The following is an 18,412-nucleotide window of genomic DNA, read 5'->3' on the forward strand; positions in this document are numbered from 1 at the left end:
CGCTGCCTCCGCCGCCGCCCGCGCGCCGCCCGCGCGCCGCGCTAGTTGAGATGGTGACAGGATTCAGCAACACGAAATTCGGCGTTTAGAGCTGCTCTGCCGCCGCCGTCACAGACACCACAGCCACCGCTTTGTCTCCGATAGTGCACACAGCCCCGGCCACCTCGCACACTCCCCGACGCCCCAAGCCCCCGAGGCCTCCGCGGAGCATTCAGCCAATCACAAAGCTGCAGCTCCTCCCGCCCCCGCCCTGATGTACAGCCTCCTGATTGGCGGGCTGCGTGTCCCCATGTGACCGGATCTTGGTTGGCCGGTCCCGCCCCTGTCACGTGACAGCGTGCGCCTCTCTTCCTGCTTTCCTGACCCTCTCCGCCATTTAAAGAAACAGTACCGGGGGCGGGCCGAGCGACGCAGCCGGGACGGTAGCTGCGGTGCGGACCGGAGGAGCCATCTTGTCTCGTCGCCGGGGAGTCAGGCCCCTAAATCGAAGAAGCCCTGGCGCGCCCTCCCCCCCTCCCGGGTCTGGTAGGGCGAAGGAACGGGCGTGCGGTCGATCGAGCGATCGGTTGGCGGCTCTTTCTCCTGCTCTGGCATCCAGCTCTTGGGGCGCAGGCCCGGCCGCCGCGGCGCGCGCCCGGTGGCCGTTGGCGCTCGCGCCGCGTCTTTCTTCTCGTACGCAGAACTCGGGCGGCGGCCTATGCGTTTGCGATTCGACGAGGAGTCGTCCGGGTGGTCGGCGGCGGCGGGCAGCTGCTCCGCCCCGCTCCGGGGGAGGCGGCGGCGGCAGCGGCCGCGGGATTTGGAGCGGCCGGGGAGGCGGGGGTGGCCGGGGCCGGCTTGGAGGCCTGGCGCCACCCTTCGGGGCCTGCAAGGACCCAGTTGGGGGGGCAGGAGGGGGCCGGAGGATGGTTGGTTGTGGGATTTCTACTTTGCCTTTTCCTCCTTATGCCGCCTTAGTGAGGGGCGGGAGCTCTGGCGGCAGCCCCGGGGTGGGGAGACGAGCTCCGGAGTCGGAAGAGCTGGGTTTTCTTCCGGGCCTAGCCACCAGTTGGCGGAGTGACCTTAGGCGAGTCACTCTGTAATTTGTCTGCGCCTCAGTTTCCTCCTCTGCCTATCAATGTGTGTGGGGTTGAAATCGCTTTGTAAACTATAAAGCGTGGGTGTACGTAAAGGATGGTTATTGTTTATAATTTTTTTTGAGTTGTAAGAAAACTTAGCAGTTCCCCAATCCTTGGGTTTTGAACCTGGGAACCTTGGATTGGAGTTGGGGATCCCCAAACTTCCTGAAATTGTGGGAATGTGCGGTTTGGGGGAATGATGGGAATTTGTGGGAATGTGCGTTTTAGGGGAATGATGATCCATCGCTAGCAAGTTTTCCAAGGGGGCTGTGACCCAGAAGAGTTAAGAATCACAATTTCTTCATGCTACAGAGAGGAAACTGAGGCCTAGATGTCATTTGGGACCCTTCACAACCATTTTGAAGCCCTGTTTGAGTCCCTGGGATATGTGAGCTGTTTCTATGCATAATGGATATTCGGGGTTAACAACAGTCCCCTGCTTGGCTTCTATTCTGAATCCTTTTCTTTCACCATGGGGTGCCTGAAGGGTGGCTGATGCATATGGTACAATGGCACCCAGTGTAAAGCAGCTACAATTAGGAGTGGATGTGTTCTGTAGCATCCTATTTAAATAAGCCTATTTTATCCTTTGGCCCGTCAACTCTGTTATCTGCTGCTTGTACTGGTGCCTGTACTTTTCTGACTCTCATTGACCATATTCCACGACCATGGTTGTCATCCATTACTTGATCCTACTTTACATGTCTAGGCTGTGTGGTTGGTGGTGAATAGGCTTCTTTTTACATGGTGCTGCCAGCCCAGCTAATTAATGGTGCACGTGGACTTTTAGCAAGCGGGCTCACTGGAAGAGACTGAACCTGGCATGGAATTCCTGAAGATGTTTGGGGTTTTTTTCTTTCTTAATCGAAAGTTAACATTGTCTGAAAAGTTTTGTTAGAACTACTGCGGAACCTCAAAATCAGTAGATTTGGAAGTGATTCAAAGCTAAACTTTTTCCTTGGCCCTCCTTGTGTTCTAATTGCTTGCAAGTGTAATACTAGGATGTCCAAGATGCCAGTTTTTGCTTCTTTGTTAGTTGTCAGCTGCTTTTATCAAATTTCAGGCCATTATCCAACAAACACTATAAAAATGTTTGAACAATTGGATTTCAAACATTTTCGTTTTGTGGAGTGGTGCTCACCAAGTGGTACAGCCCTAAGCAAGTGAACACAAACACATTTAAGTGTATTTTGTCTGATTAGATGTTAGCCAGTTATGCTATTTCATTCAAATGTCTGAAAAAATCAATTGACTATTCCCTTTTCCTAAAGGGCAGAGACAGATAATCTCACTTCCAGAGAAATGACTTGGAGAAAAAAAAGTGTTGGTCTTTTTGCTCTTTTGTAATTAAATCCGGATGTACCTCAAAAGACTTAAGACTGTGGTGATAAGATGCTTTCCTCAGCAGAAAGGAGGGAAAAAAAACAACTGGAACTCAAAGCTTGAAATTCTGTGGCAAAACATGAGATGTCCAGGATTGGAGGTTGAAAAGATTTCACTACAGTGTTCTGCAATAGTTGGAGCAGATAACTTTCAGTGTAGCCACAGCCATGGACTCCAGATTTCCAGATTTTCAAGACCTGGACCTGGAACCCGAAAGAGCTTGTCACGATGCGGCAGGAACACTGGAGGTAGATTTTTTTTTATTTTTGAATTTTGGGACTGTTGACCTTGCTGTGAGAAAAGAGACAACGACTGAGCAAGCACTACCACCAGCACTGTTACTGGGAATTAGAAGACCTGAGTTTCTGTCCAGACCCTCAGTGCAAACTGAGGATGCTCCATCCAAAGTGAATTATGGTACTTGCCATTTTCCAAAATGCCTTATCCTTTACCATCTCTGCACTTTTGTTCATACTCTCATTCTACTTTGGAACTGCTGCTCTGTGGCTTTTCATCTGTCAAAACTGCCATTTTCTCAGTATCCAACTCTTATGCCCTCTTTTCCATGAGTCTCCTAACTAGCCAGAATAGAGCTTTAAAGTTTTATGACATTTCGTTATGTATCCTCTATCTGTATACAAAATCCTGTAAAATAGTTACTTGCCTGCATTTACTGTCTTTGCAGATAGCAGACTCCTTGAAAGCAGGGTCCTTGTTTAGTGCATCTTTGCCCACATACACCACAACATATCAAGATGCATTTATTAGGAAGGAGGAGTTTAGAGAGCAGGCTATCAGAATAACCACTCAGTAAGTGTTTTCTTAATTGCTATGTGATAACTTACATTACTCTTAATGAGGAGAAAAGTCGCTAGATATGGATCATGTTTATGTTTTAATGTTTTTTAATTCTAAATTTTGATCTAGGGAGCCCTCAGACATAAGGAGAAACCAATATGTTGAATGATGGGGTATTACATACAGAAGGACCAAGACCTTATTTTCTCCTACTTAAGATGGAATCTTGTTAAGATGAAAGGACAGCTTTTTAAAAGGAGAAGGTCATAAGACAGTTTGAGGAAGGCATTGGAAGAGGAAGAGGGGCAATGTCTCCTTTGTTTTATTGTTGGTATATAAACTTAAAATCTCAGTTCTTTTTATGGCACTTGTGGAGCCACTTCCTCTCCTCACCAAAAAATGCCCAGTACCCTGAATCCGATCAAATTACTCTCCTAAAGTATAAGGCTTAGTTTCTGTGTGCTGCTTCGCGAGACAGTTCCCACAAATCGAGAGTGTTAATCAGACTTTTGTGTTTTCTTTTTTGGATTGCTGTTGTTTGTTTTCATTTATCATTTGTCTTTGCCTAAGCCAGGCTCATCAAGAATTAACAGCCATCAGGCTGCCGATGTGCTGACAGCAGACCCACTTAGAGTCCTGTGTTTGTAATTCCATGCATTTGTTATTTTACCTGTTTTGTCCCTGCCCCTTCTAGTCCTGTGCCTCCTGATTGCTGAGTGTTCACCTGGACCTTCTGACTACCTTCCCTGTGCTATTCCATCAGCCTACAGACCTGGTACCTGGATTTTTGCCCGAGATGATTCCTACCACCTTACTACTGACGAAGACACCCATTCCAGTGGACCACTGTGACCCAGGAGGCATTCAGCCATCATGATGTGGCCTTTACCTCCACTCCTGTCTTGTTCTACCCAGATTCAGCACAGCCCTTTATAGTGAAGTCAGAGTCCTCAAGCCAAATAGCTAAAGCTGTTTTATCACAACAAAGGCCTAGTTTGTTCCATGAGTGTGCATTTCATTTCTTCAGTTAAAGCCTTCAGAGACACACAATAAATTTGGACCAGGGGATTTTTTAGTTATTAATGCTCTCTGAAGAAAGGCAACATCTTTTTGAGAGCAGCATTGGACCACACCCCACAATCTCAAATGATTGAAATTCATGAACATCTAGGATCCCGTGAAGGTCACTGGACCCTGTTTTTTCTACTTCAAATCCTGTAGTAGCCTACTGAATGAGAAAACATATTCTGACCCATTGGGATCAAATCAAAGGCACAGTGAACTCCTCATAGCATCTTCTTTGGAATTACTCAGGAACCAGAACTTTTTACACAAATGTAAGAAATTCTACCAAGGAGTCCCCTTACCTAACAGCATCTCACAAGGCTGCACCAGATTCCAGAAAAGGCTTCTCTTGATACATCAAGGTAGAACCTCTATGGTAAATCCCTCTGTTTATAATGCACTTTACAGTTTCAAAGCACTTGTACGTACATTTATCTCAATTATCAAAATAACAGTGAATTATAATCCCTTTTTGGAAATGAGGGAATGTAAATTTTAAAAGTTAAGCAATTATCCAAGGTGACACAGCTGTGAAAGTGGTAGAGGCCAGGCTTTCTGACACCCAGTCCAGTACTCTCCTTGGAATTAGCCTCCATTTTACCCACAGTGTTAAAATGGCTGGGTATTGGGAACCTCAGGAAATTTTCCAGCTTCCTGATCTGGTGCCCCTAGTCACATAGGATGTGTGATCACGTGATAGCTACATCTGGACCAGAATCCCATGGCAATATCCCACGGTTTAAGGGCATAATATCTCCGTGGTGGTAGATTGTCAAGTCAAAAACGGGACATGTTCTAACAGCAAAGCTACCCAATATGAAACACAAAGCTACTTTTAGATTTTTTAAGACTTACTGATATTCCTGGGCCCTAAGAGCTTGTCTATGGTCCTATCTTTGCAAACTAGTATTTACACAAAATGAGCCACCTGGTTTTTTTAAAGTCAGTATTGTGTGTGTGTGTGTAAATATGACATGGAGAAAGCTTCTGTTACCTAGTAAGATAGTAAAGTATGTAAGACATGGCCCTTCCCCCAGTCTACATTGAGGTATAGTGTATTAAAGGATCTCAGGAGACTTGCAGCAAATTACTACTGCTTCTGTGCTTAAATTCAGAAGTCTGAAAAAAAAAAAAAAAGACTTCTAGTAAAGAGTTCCATTTTGCTGTTTAACCCTTTGTGTCCTAAGTTTAATCAAACACAGAAGGATATTTTTTTGCATCATTCCATCTAATGGAATGCAGAAACTGCTCTAGAGCAGTATAACCAGTGCTTCCTGATTGCCAGCAGATTGCCCTGGACACCCCAGAATAAACAGCATCTTCAAAATCCCCCTTTCTCATACCTTCTTATTAATGGTTGAATTAGTATGTCTCTGTCATCTGAGAGTCTTGCATCTTGACCATTACCTTTATTTTCTGTCAAGGGAATCCCTAGAAGATGTATGGGGAGACATAGGAAAGGAATGGAAGAAAGTTAATTCACCCCAAATTGGATAAATTCCATGACATTTAGCAATATACTTCTGTATCCCTAGAATTGTATCATAACTTTAGTTCAAGGACATTGCATCTCAGGTGGGTTAAGGAGGTTGGGAAGGGGAGAAAAGGGATGAGGAGATATTTTCTTGAGATTTATCTCCTTGAGATAATGCTTGAGAAGTCATCCAGCCATGGACTTCTTGGAGTAATACTTACAAAGAATTGGATGCATTTTGCATCCTTAGGCAAAAACCCCAGTGCTGTTACAACTGAAAATCATTAGCCTTGTTCTCTGATAGATACTTACAAGCCCAACTGCAGGCAATCAAAATTTATAGCAGATGAGTTCTAACTCCATCAACCTGTAATGTGGTCCATCTTAGGGAAAGAATAGGAAAACACCTTGGTTTACCACAGGCTTTGCTTACAGTTTCTGCTTTCTGTGACCTATTTTTTGTATTTCAGCATTTTGTGACCGACTTATTCTTAGATCATTGGTTTTCCAAAGGCTTTGTGGCCATGAAGCCCTTTGAGTGAAAACTGTGCAGAAGCCCAGAGTAAAAGTGAAGCTGCTCTGGATGAAGTAGTGAAGCAAGAGTAGGGGCCTGAATCCTGCTACAACTATCTTCCTTTACCACCGTGGTGACACCTAAGGGGACTTCCTTACAACACCTTGAACTCTTCCGAACACAGTTTGAAAACCACTGCCCCAGACAGCAATATGTTTGACCTGAATGGCATTCCAATCTTTTCTGTACCTCCACTCAGCACAGTTCATGTTCAGTAGATGCTGAACATTCTTAGAAATACTGTGTGTGAACTTAGAAAAGTGCAAGAAGACAGGCATGTCTTTGACCCCAGGAATGATCATTTGCTGAAGATGGTGTCAAGTGAACCTAGATTAACAGCCCTCCACTCCAGATGGATATCCAGTGATTCCTAGAATGGGATATAGCCAGAGAACAATTCTATGCACCCTACACTGACAGACTCCCTTAAGCAACACCAGATGCTCTACTGGTACTTGAAGTACATGACTTTGAAGTCTTGACCCTCCATGAATACCTGAATTATCAGCAAGCGGGTTTTGAAGCTGGTGCCTCATTGAGGCCATATTAGAGCAACTTGTACATTTGACCTCTTGTTATCAGCCATGGTACTCTACTTCGTGTGCAAGAGATAACTATGAAAGCCAAATTCAAATACTGGCAACATTTCCTAAAGGGGCTCAATATCTATCATTCGTCTTCTTTTCCAAACTACACATCACTGTATGACTCAACCAGTAGCAGTTATATTGCCCCTTGGTTTTTATTCAGTTTAACTACTGTTTCCAAGATAAATGAGCTAATAAGCTTTAAAAAAAAAAAAAAAAAAGGCTGAATTCTTTTTTCTTCATCACTGGCATATCTGCCTATTCTCCAGAATTATTATGACTATTCAGCTCACTTTAACAGTTGAACTTCAAGCGACAATCTTTGAACACCCCTTCTCATGTGATTTAAAATGAAACCATTTGGAAAAGTTTCTTCTAGCCAGTAATAGATTTTTTTTTTAATTGCTCTGCCTTGTGCCGAGAGATGTTCTTTTAAGATGAATCTTTTGATGTCTGATACCACCAAATATAGGTGGTAGGGAGAGTTGGAGGCTGGCCCTTTGAGCAGGCCATTAGCTTACTTGCTGGGCATTTCCGATAGCTTATTGCCTACCTTTTTGCTGGAAACAAACTGATTTGAAAAACAAAATCTATGAAGACTGCAGCTAAGGATTTTATCGGTAGACTTAAGAGCTTTTGTCCTTGTGGATATTTTAGTGGAACCACATCAGTCTCAATACTGTCATTTTACACTGACTCAGAGCAGCTGACTTCATTCCTTGCCATGATATATATTTAAGGCAGGCATTGTAACAGACATAAAGACAACTTATCTGTTTCAGCAGGAAGGATTCAGTTTATGAACTCTCAGACCAGATCATGTTGAACAAGGAGACTTTGATGTGTGTCATGAGAAAACTCATTCTTTACTTCCCAGTCAATTTAAAGGCCAGCTATCCTGAGCTACTCGAATGAATGCACTGGTTAAACATTGGAAATAGTTTGTTTATATCCTTGTCTCTCTCTAGGCCAATTGTGATTACATGACTCGACTCTACATCTCGTCAAACAAGGCCTAGGTCTGGTTGCTGTAGACTGCTCGCCCTCAACAAATAAAATCTGGTTGACTAGCCTCCTTGTATATACAACTATTATTTGTTAAGAAGAAATTATCGTCAATTTTCTACTACCTTCCAATTGTCAGCTCTTTTTTTCCTCTCTGGTTTTTCCTATACTTTACAGAAAAAGACATTGATCTATACTGCCATTCCCTCTAATCCTGCCATACTCAGTCAAAAGGAATGACTTAAGATGAAGATGATCATCTGCTCGAGTCTAAAATATACATTGTATATAAGAATTGGTGATTAGAAAAGCAAAAAACCTAAAACTTAAATCTAGGAGTCTGTATACTGTCTCCATGTCTCCATGCCTCAGATCTCATCTAAATCTTTGAACAGCACCATTCAACCAATCTGAGGCCTTGACTTGCTTGTAAGATGATTCTCAGAGATCGGCTGAGTTAAAAAAGATGACGACTTGATTACCAAAGAAAGTAGGGCCAACTTTGACAAATCTGGCTCTGCTGACCCTGTCACTCCCAGATGTAGCATAGACTCCTAAACAGAACCTCAAGTCTGATTGAGGATAAGGCCTTCTCCTGAGCTGAAAGTTCTTTGGCAGATGAGCAAGAAACTGAAAGCTGATGTACCTGACTGGCTCTGTAAGATCAGAAAACTGTATCCAGAATAAGCCCTATGGATTAACCCCTGAGTACCCAGAGTAAAAACTAATTTACAGAACTTCCTTATTGATCTGCTGGTTCTTCCAGATCATATTCTGGCTATTGGTATGGCTGGCCTTTCTGAAGGTACCCTGCTTGTCTATTTTCCTGACTCAGCTCTTGCCTGCCTTTTTCACATGTTGCTGCAATTAGACTCACCGTGAGGACTACAGTCAATTTCAGTCTATCTTGTGCCCAATACAACAAGGATTTTTAATAGTAACAACCCACACCTCACCCACTAGGACTCAATGTTCACAACAGGAAGGACCATTGCTGCATACTCCTTGACCAGCAACTTTTTTGAAGATATTTTTAAGTGCAGAGTAGGCCTCTATTCCTGTATGTAATTGTTCATTTTCAGCACCTGGAACCTCATCTATCGGGTCTGGAAGGAATACAGCAGTTCGAAAGCCGCGTCCATTTCTCTCCTTCAGTAGTGCAGAAATGAGTCCGATTCACCAGTACACACAGAACTGTACCAGTTCAACCTAGCAAAAGAAGAAAAGTTTCCACTGTACTTAAAATTTACAGCTGACTCAAATTGCCTCACAGAATTATTTGATGTAGAAGGCTAGTTGTCTTACTTCAGATCAGCAGGACAGTTGGGCTCTCAGACTCATGACCACTGAGTTTGCTTGTGTTGAAACTGTGGTTTCATCCAACATATGCTATTGGACATGATTATTATTCCATTCAAATGGATTACAGACTTCTTGAGGACAGGACAAACTTATCTCTCATGGTGTTTTTTTAGAATACTTTTATAACCAAGGAAGAAACCATGCCAGCTGTTACCATTCAACTTCTTAAGCAGAGATTAAGCTTTTTCATATCTGTTCTTATCCTGGACATCAGTAGTTTTTAATTGCCCAGCATCCGTTCCATCTTGTAACAACTCCCTGATGTTTCTTAAAACCACCTCTTCCTATTTTCAGTCTGTGGTTTGGACAGTCTGACCCAACCTTGAGCTTTGTGGGTGAACATGTAATTCAGACCTCATCAATCAGCAAATCCATCTGAACTGTGGAGGAGAAGCTCTCTTTACTGAGGGTGCTTTAGCTTTGTAGGATGAAAACCTCAAACTAACAGGGCCTACCATGTAGAGAATGAAGCCAGTGCAGGGGAAAGCAGAGCCAAAATATGGAGAGACTTGAATCCTGATGACAGCGTTTGTGCCCCTGGATCCAACCGTGCCTGAAGCTAGAATATCCCCTGGACTTTTCAGTTATGTGAACCAATAAATACCCTTTTTTGCTTAAGTTACTTTGAGTTGGGTTTCTGTTACTTGAAATTGAATCCACACTAATATATCTACCAACATTGAGACTTGACAGATCCAAGTATTTATTAAGCTAGAGGTCATGGTCACTGAAATTACTTTCCAAAGTGGAAGACAAAATGAAACAGGAACTGAGGGAATATTTAAGATCCCACAGAAGCGTAAAAATGACATGGTAGAAAGTAATAGAAAACCTAAATGTCTGTCATTAAAGGATAGGTTAAGGTGTGGTTCAGCCATATAGGAATATCTCGTATCTGTTAAAATGAATAAAGTACATTCATTGTGTATGGAAAAATGGCCATGATACATTAGGTGAAACAAGTTATTAATAGAAAAGTGTACAGTGTGAACTCATTTTAAAATGTGTGTGCTTATGTTTATAAATGCATAGAAAGGTCTATTCACAGCTTTCTTTGAACAGTGTAGATCACATGAAACTTTCAACTTTATACATTTCTGTATTAATATTTTACACTACCCACATTATTTTTAAACTTTATTTTAAATAAAGAATTTTTAAAATTAAATTTAGTGCTTACTGTTTGACCTTGGCAAGTTATTCAACACTGAGCCTGTTTTATCAAATGATTTAAAATGCCTACTTTTATGTTAGTAAATATTAAATATAAATCATTCATTACTCAAGTTGACAGATTGCTATACCATTGCTTGTTTGAGAAACTCAGAGCTTAGTAATTGTTCCTTAGTTTTTTAAGCATGTCTCCTTCAAGTGAGTTTATTTGGATTATCAGAATTTTGTGGTTTTAAGGTTTATCAAAGATTATTCTAGTTCTTGACTGATGTTGATCTGCTAAGACTATTGCAGTATCCACATTAGGCAGAAAGCAGGGGGAAAGTCACTTTTTTTAAAAAATCCTTGAAATATTCTGATGTCACTGCAATTAAGGTCAATAGTGACCTTTTCATTGCTAAATCCGTTACACCTGCATCTAATATGAACTTTCAGCAGCACAGGTAACTCCCACCAGCTTCTTGAAACACTTCCCTTAAGTGCTATAATACTTTTAATTTTCTTTTCAACTTGCAGACTACTCCTTTATTGTAGGTTCTTCTCCCCATCATGTAAATATAGGTATAGTGGACATCCATTGCTTTGGCTTGCCAAAAATCACTTCCCCTTTACTTTAATCATACATCCCCACTTATCCTTTAGAAAGCTGCTCCTTCCCATTCTGTGTGGTGGTAGTGGAAATGTAGATGACAGTACTCCGGCCTCATGCCCCCTGGCTGAGGTTTGAGCAATGCAAGCTCGTTCTGTCCCACAAGGACTTTGATTCTTAAGAAAGGTGACCACAAAGTGATCAGAGTTGAGTCATTCTGATCGTAGTGTTCTAAAGAAACCATTTAAAAGTTTATGAAAGGAGATCTCCAAAGTATGCTGGCTCCTATTCTCCAAGCCTGGTTGTCCAAGTTTTCCTTTGATTGTATAAACTACCACATAGCCTCCTTAAAATAAGTTTCCTTTTTGTCAGCCAAAATGGGTTTCTATTGCTGGTGACCAAATGACTGACTAATTACAGAAATGGAGGCCGGAGAGTTAAATGGTAGGCCTTTAACCCACAGGAACATATGGAGGATCTGGAATTGATTATTGTACTGAGACAGATAATGGCACCAGCTCTTGTTCTGTGTCCCTGGGAGGATAAATCTACGAGTTAAGGGTGACAAAACAGTAATGATATCATTTCTTGTCATTTGGAATCGTGCCTGTTGAGAGTAGAATTTGGAGGGCCAGGTAATTGTTGACAATAGGACAATTTAAAGTGGATAGACTGGGCACAGTGGCTCACACCTGTAATCCCAGCACTTTGGGAGACCAAGGTGGGTGGAGCACCTTAGGTCAAGGAATTCAAGACCAGCCTGGCCACATGATGAAACCCCGTCTCTACAAAAATACAAAAATTAGCCAGGCATGATGGTTAATCATGTAATCCCAGCTACTCGGGAGGCTGAGGCTGGAGAATGACTTGAACCCAGGAGGCAGAGGTTGTGGTGAGCCAAGATCGCACTGTTGCACTCTAGCCTGGGCAACAGAGCAAGACTCCATCTCAAAAAAAAAGAAAGAAAAAATTAGCTGAGCATGGTGTTGGGTACCTGTAATCCCAGCTACTTGGGAGGCTGAGGCAGGAGAATCTCTTGAACCTGGGAAGCAGTGTTTGCAGTGAGCTGAGATTGTGCCACTGCACTCCAGCCTAGGTGACAGAGTGAGATTCTGTCTCAAAAAAATAAAGTGGATAAAGCAGGCCAGGACCACTGAGTTAGAATGGTTACTTTGATTGCATTAGCTATTTTATTTTTTTTAATTTTATTTATATATATATATATACTTTGAGACAGAGTCTCGCTGCAACGCCCAGGCTGGAGTGCAATGGTGCGATCTCAGCTCACTGCAACCTCTGCCTCCTGGGTTCAAGTGGTTCTCCTGCCTCAGCCTCCCAAGTAGCTGGGATTACAGGCACACGCGATCATGCTGAACTCATTTTTGTATTTTTAGTAGAGATGTTGGCCAGGGTGGTTTTGAACTCCTGACCTCAAGTGATCCGCCCACCTCAGCCTCCCAAAGTGCCGGGATTACAGGCATGAGCTACCGCCCCTGGCCCCGGTAGCTGTCTTAAAGTGAAGGGCATCAGCTCAAACCCAGAAACTGACCTGTGGGCATAGAATAAAATACAGGCCCTTTTTGTGGCCAGGATAAATGAATCTCGGTGCTTAAATCCACACTAGTACTTGGAGATTAATTATTCAAATTGCAAAATTACAATGCTGGTTGAATTTGTAGCATTACTAACGTCTCTTTTGTGAGAGTTAAGGTATTAATCAGAAAAGAGACTGTATAGAGTGCTGATACCTGGGAAGATTCAGAAGATTTAGAGAATCCCAATCCTCGAAATATCTCAGGAATGAAGGTTTGGGTTACCCTATTAGTCAAAAATCCCTGACTGAATTAAACAAAAAAGTATAGTCAAAGAGGAAGAGATAAATAGCAGTTATAGCCCCATAACCTGTTGGAGAAGTAAGATCTGTAGCCTCTACCCCATATCTTTTAGGTTGCCTTATTTTATTTCCCCCTCTCCTCTTTATTCATTACAGTATTCTGCCCTAACATTTCCTGGCTGAAGTTTGAGCATGATGCAAGTTAATCCAATCAGATTTCTCCTCCATTGGAGCTGAGCCATTCTAGTGGTAGTGTCCCCTCACTGATGTGTATGAGTGTGTTGGTGATGGTTAAATATATCAGGAAATCCGTAAGTTGCAGATTATCAAGATGGGGTTAAGAACTAGAGAAGAATGAGCATCACCCAGAAATCTTAGGCTTATAACTAGAAATTATTTTAGGTTATCTCCCTTTAAGAGGAAGATCTCCCTTTAGGGGGGATTATGTTGAGTGAAGGTATTAAGATTGTTCATGTTGAAGAATGCATGTCCACATAGTGTACGTTTGCCTACCCAGTGTTATCTTTTTCCCCTCTGAGAATAGCACTTCACCTTTCCTTTGGGAAACTACCCATTTCCCATGCCATGTGAGCCCAGAGGATAATGTGTAAGAGGTATATGAGTTTCTGAGAGGAATGTGAGAGGTCTTCACCTGCCCAGATTCCTGACTTAATCTTTAAGTCTTCTTGCCCTGTAGACTCTGAAAAATCTCATCCATTTCCATGGCCTTGGTTTCTAACTGTATATTGATAATTTCCAGATTCCTACCTTTGGCCTTGATATGTGTCTTGAGCTCCAGATCTGAATGCCCACCTGTACCTTGATATCCACTGCTTGATTAACACAAAGATACTCTCACCCAACATAATAAACGCTGACCTCTTCATTTTTTCCTTAAAATCTGCTCTCCAGTGTTCCCTTTGTTGGTAAATGGCACCACCCTCTACTCTGTTTCTCAAACCAGAACATGAGAGTTATTCTCGAAGCTTCCCTCTCTCCCAGAGTCCCTGTTAGTCATTAAATGATCTTGGTGTTAGCATGTAAATATATACCTTAAAACTATCTCCACTTCTATCACTTTGTCCAAGGGAACATATATCTGTTGCTGTAAGTACTATAATGCCTTTCTAGTGGTTTCACTGCCTCTATTATTGTCCCACTGCAGTCTTCTCTACAGGACAGCTAGAGTAGCCCCCCAAGAGATAGGGTATCCCTGTTGCCCAGGCTGGAATGCAGTGTCAATCATAGTTTACTGCAGCCTCAAACTCTTGGCCTCAAGCATCCCTCCTGCCTCAGCCTCATGAGTAGCTGGGACTGCAGGCACGTACCACCATGCCTGGCTGGCCATTTATTTATTTATTTATTTTGTAGATACACTATCTCGCTATGTTGCCCAGGCTGGTCTTGAACTCCTGGCTTCAAGCAATCCTCCCACTTTGGCCTCCCAAACCACTAGGATTACAGGTGTGAGCCACTATGCCCAGCCTACTTAACCTTTTAATAGTTCCCCCGGCATTTCAGAATAAAATCTAAACTCTCCTGGTTTACAAGGCTCTTCAGCTTCTCATTATCTTATTCCTCAAGCTTCATCTTTTGCCACTTCAAACAGGAACAACTCAATTTTGTATATTGGAATTTCCTGTATTATTATTATTTCATTTGAAAAAAAAGTTTCCACTTTTTTTTTTTTTTTTTTTTGAACTGAAGTCTTGCTCTGTTGCCAGACAGGAGTGCAATGGCACTACCTCGGCTCACTGCAATCTTTGCCTCCCAGGTTCAAGCAATTCTCCTGCCTCAGCCTCCCGAGTAGCTGGGACTACAACTGCGTACCACCATGCCCAGCTAATTTTTTGTATCTTAGTAGAAACGGGGTTTCACCATGTTGACCAGAATGGTCTCAATCTCCTGACCTCGTGATCCATCCCCCTCGGCCTCCCAAAGTGCTGGGATTACAGGTGTGAGCCACAGTGCCTGGCTGGGTTCCACATTTTTTAAAGCAGTGGAGATGCAAGAATTCATTAAAAGAAAGACAAAATTGAAATGATTATTCAGAACAACCCAAAAGCCTATTGCTATGAATACTGTAATTTATTTTCTTCCATATTTCTTTCCATGAAATTTTTAAAAATCTAGTATTTGTAACTGATACAGAGAGCTACAGTAAGGTGCCTAGAGAGCAACCAAATCCCTACCTCACAACATTTACAAAGATAAATACCAAAAGGACTACAGATTTAAATCTTAAAATGAAACACTAGAAGAATATTTAGGAGACTATTTTTGTGATCTTATGACATGGGAGATTTTCATAAACAAAGCAGAAAACCTACAAGCCATAAAGGAAATTACAGACATATAAGACTACATGAAACAAATCTTGGTTCTGTAAAAGATGTGATAGATTGGAGAGATATTTCCAACATAAATGACAGATCCAGGACTAATGTTGCTAATACAGAGAGTTCCTACAAATTTATAAGTAAAGTAATAATCACTAGCCATTTATTTGGTGTTTGTTTCATACTTGGCATTGTTTCAGGCACTTTACAAGTGTTATTTAATTGTCACAGTTTATGAGATAGGCAATATTATTCCTGTTTTACAGCTACGGAAACAGGCTCAGAAGGATAAAATAACTTGCCCATGTCACACAATAGGTGATAGAGCTATGACTCAAACACAGGTTGTCTGTTAGTCTGTACTTTGAACCATGATGCTCTTCAACATTTCCGTAAGCATATGAAAGATAATGAGGTCAGTGAGATGTGATGTACAACAGAGCAATGAAGTACCATTTGCCACCTATCAGATGGCAGAATTTAAAAGAGCAGTAACATATAGTGCTGGCAAGAATTAGGGTAACAAAACTTTTATACATTGTTGGTGGGCATGTAGATTGTTCCAATTTTTTTAGATGATGATCTGGCAATACTGATGCAAATTTTTAAATATACACTTTTGGACCCAGCATTCCTACTTTAAAGACTCTCAAAGAACTAAAAGCACCAAGATAAAAGGACATCAGTATGAGAAATTTACTGCAACGTAACCTGTGCTAGCAAAAAAATTTAAAAAGCAATCGATCAAAGTGGAGTGGTTGAATCAGTTATAGGACAGCTATACTGTGGAGTGTTATGCAACTGTTAGAAAGAAGACCTCTATTTCTTAGCCTGTGGCATGTCCATGATGCATTAAGCAAAACAAACAAAAATTACAGAGTAATGTATATCATAATAGCCCATTGTATGGGGTGCAGGGCTGGAAGCCCTACAAATGTATCTAAATGAACATGAAAGAAAAGTGGAAGGATACACCAAATTGAGGGGTTTGGAGAAACTTGGTGCTTTATACATACTGGCATTGTTTCACTGGTTGTGGGAGCACATCCTTTTTTTTTTTTTTAAGAGACAGTTTATTTCTAAGGGAAATAATTAAATTTTTATTTATTTTTATTTTTTTTTTTTTTGAGATGGAGTCTCGCTCTGTCGCCCAGGCTGGAGTGCAGTGGCGCAATCTTGGCTCACTGCAACCTCCACCTCCCGAGTTCAAGCAATTCTCCTGCCTCAGTGTCCTAGGTAGCTGGGATTACAGGCACATGCCACCACGCCCAGCTGATTTTTTTTTTTTTCTTTTTTTTTTAGTAGAGACAGGATTTCACCATGTTGGCCAGGCTGGTCTCGAACTGCATACTTCAAATGATCCACCCTCCTCGGCCTCCCAAAGTGCTAGGATTACAGGTGTGAGCCATAAATATAATTTTTAAAGCAATTAAATTGTACCTAGACTTTTTCAAGTTAGCATATGCTAAGGGATCAAAAAAGAGGGCAACAAAGAGTAACAGTTGGTTAACTCTTTTATATCCAGGGTTGCCTTTTGTAGATGCATGGGTTCCAGGTGACTGGCCCTCAGCCTTTGAATAGGCCACTCCCTACGACAGAGAAAGGGTTGTCCACTAGGGTGCCACTTCTAACAAAGATGTGTTGTCTCCCTGTATTTGTTCTTCCCAGAGTAAACACATTTTTCAGTTTCCCTGGCAGGTGTAACCCACTAACTAAATTTTAGCCAGTGGGACCTGAGTAACTTATAGGACTTATCCTTAAAAAGGAGTGAGCCCATCTCCTTCCTTCACCCTCCTGACTAGAATGTAGGCTTCACCCCGCTGACTAGAATTCCATGACTGGAATTTGTCACTGTTGGACCATAAAGGAGAAGGCACTCTGTGCCAGTGACGATGGAGCAACAAGTTAGAAGGAGCCTAGATTCCTGATGAATGTGAAGCCACCTTACCAGGCCTGAACTGCTTATCTCTGGACCTCGTTTACAAAACTAATTTCTGTCTTCTTGACATCATTAGTATATGAGGTTTTTCTCTGCCTCACAACTGAACGTAGTCTGCCCATAAATATTTTGCTGGAAATATTTCTTAGGAACATCTGATTCCATCCGTTCTGATTTTATACTACTGAATCAACCTGCCCCTAGCTGGACTCACTAAGAGTAGATGACTGGTTGGGTCATGAACCAGCCACATATCTTTAATCATAAATTAATAGGGCTGTGCACAGTGGCTCACGCCTGTAATCCCAGCACTTTGGAAGGCCGAGGCGGGCAGATCACTTTAGGTCAGGACATCTAGACCAGCCTGGCCAACATGGTAAAATCCGTCTCTACTAAAAATACAAAAATTAAGCCAGGCGTGGTGGGTGCCTGTAATCCCAGCCACTCAGGAGGCGGAGGTTGCAGTGAGCTGAGAGCTGAGAGCGCACCATTGCACTCCAACCTGGGGAACAAGAGTGAGATCCGTCTCAAGAAAAAAATCATAAATTAATAAATTGGTCTCTTTATTAGTTCAGTGGCCCTCCTTTATGCTCTCAGAGTCTCACTGTTATGGACATCCATTGCTTTTGTCTACTCAGTATCTATCTTCACTTCTTTTGATAAGAGAATATTAGTTGCGCTCTGAGTTTCCAACCCTCCTTCACTTTCTGTCTGTTCACTACCCCTGGCTCCAGGACTGAGCATGTAACTCGGACCGACCAGAGCACTGCAGCGCCTTGGTCAGGGTAGTTGGATATGGAGTGAGTTTATTATCTAAGCCAAGCCAGTTTTACACAAATAGAGCTAATGGAGGTGGGGGAATTTCCTTTTTAATCTATTGAATTTAGAACTGTAAGGTTGCAAGACTGGCATTATTGGCAGCCCTCTTGCCACCACAAGGAGGTTGCTCATCTGAGAATGAGGCTGGTCTTGAACTCCTGACCTCAGGTGATTTGCCTGCCTCGGCTTCCCAAAGTGCTGGGATTACAGGAGTGAGCCACTGCATCCGGCCTAATTCTGCTGTTTCTGTTCCACTTCTGTTGACTCAGGAGAATGGCAAAGATGAGCCCAGGAGTCCTTAAGATTCTCAGTGTTCCACTCTTGATGTAATTGTTGATCTAGCTTCAGCCCAT

At 42.2% G+C, this 18,412-nt stretch overlaps 1 protein-coding gene across 8 annotated transcripts, besides 2 other annotated features; it reads left to right on the top strand.

Annotated features, from left to right (window-relative positions):
* Positions 315-644: an enhancer, noted in NCBI's record as "active region_18847". NCBI's record gives its function as "activates an Ori minimal core promoter by ATAC-STARR-seq in GM12878 lymphoblastoid cells {active_cell/tissue: GM12878}" and the evidence as "EXISTENCE:reporter gene assay evidence [ECO:0000049][PMID:35858748]".
* TUG1 (taurine up-regulated 1) lies at positions 404-10,534 on the top strand. 8 transcript variants are annotated; one of them, NR_152868.2, is made up of 4 exons: positions 404-525; positions 3,187-3,311; positions 3,994-4,740; positions 6,309-10,534. NR_152868.2 is itself a non-coding variant. In NM_001398480.1 (4 exons), the coding sequence occupies exon 1, from the start codon at positions 496-498 to the stop codon at positions 955-957; it is 462 nt and encodes a 153-aa protein (NP_001385409.1). In that variant the 5' UTR covers positions 404-495; the 3' UTR covers positions 958-2,918; positions 3,187-3,311; positions 3,994-4,726; positions 6,309-10,534. The 8 variants fall into 8 exon arrangements, 6 of the variants coding, with proteins under 6 accessions (NP_001385409.1, NP_001385405.1, NP_001385406.1 ...); NR_152867.2 differs by having other exon boundaries at positions 3,994-4,726; NM_001398480.1 differs by having other exon boundaries at positions 404-2,918; positions 3,994-4,726.
* Positions 675-924: a silencer, noted in NCBI's record as "silent region_13620". NCBI's record gives its function as "represses an Ori minimal core promoter by ATAC-STARR-seq in GM12878 lymphoblastoid cells {active_cell/tissue: GM12878}" and the evidence as "EXISTENCE:reporter gene assay evidence [ECO:0000049][PMID:35858748]".
* Positions 10,535-18,412: the final 7,878 nt, after the last annotated feature.

The sequence above is a fragment of the Homo sapiens genome, chromosome 22 (genome assembly GCF_000001405.40).
Source record: "Homo sapiens chromosome 22, GRCh38.p14 Primary Assembly".
Classification (NCBI taxonomy): Eukaryota; Metazoa; Chordata; class Mammalia; order Primates; family Hominidae; genus Homo; species Homo sapiens.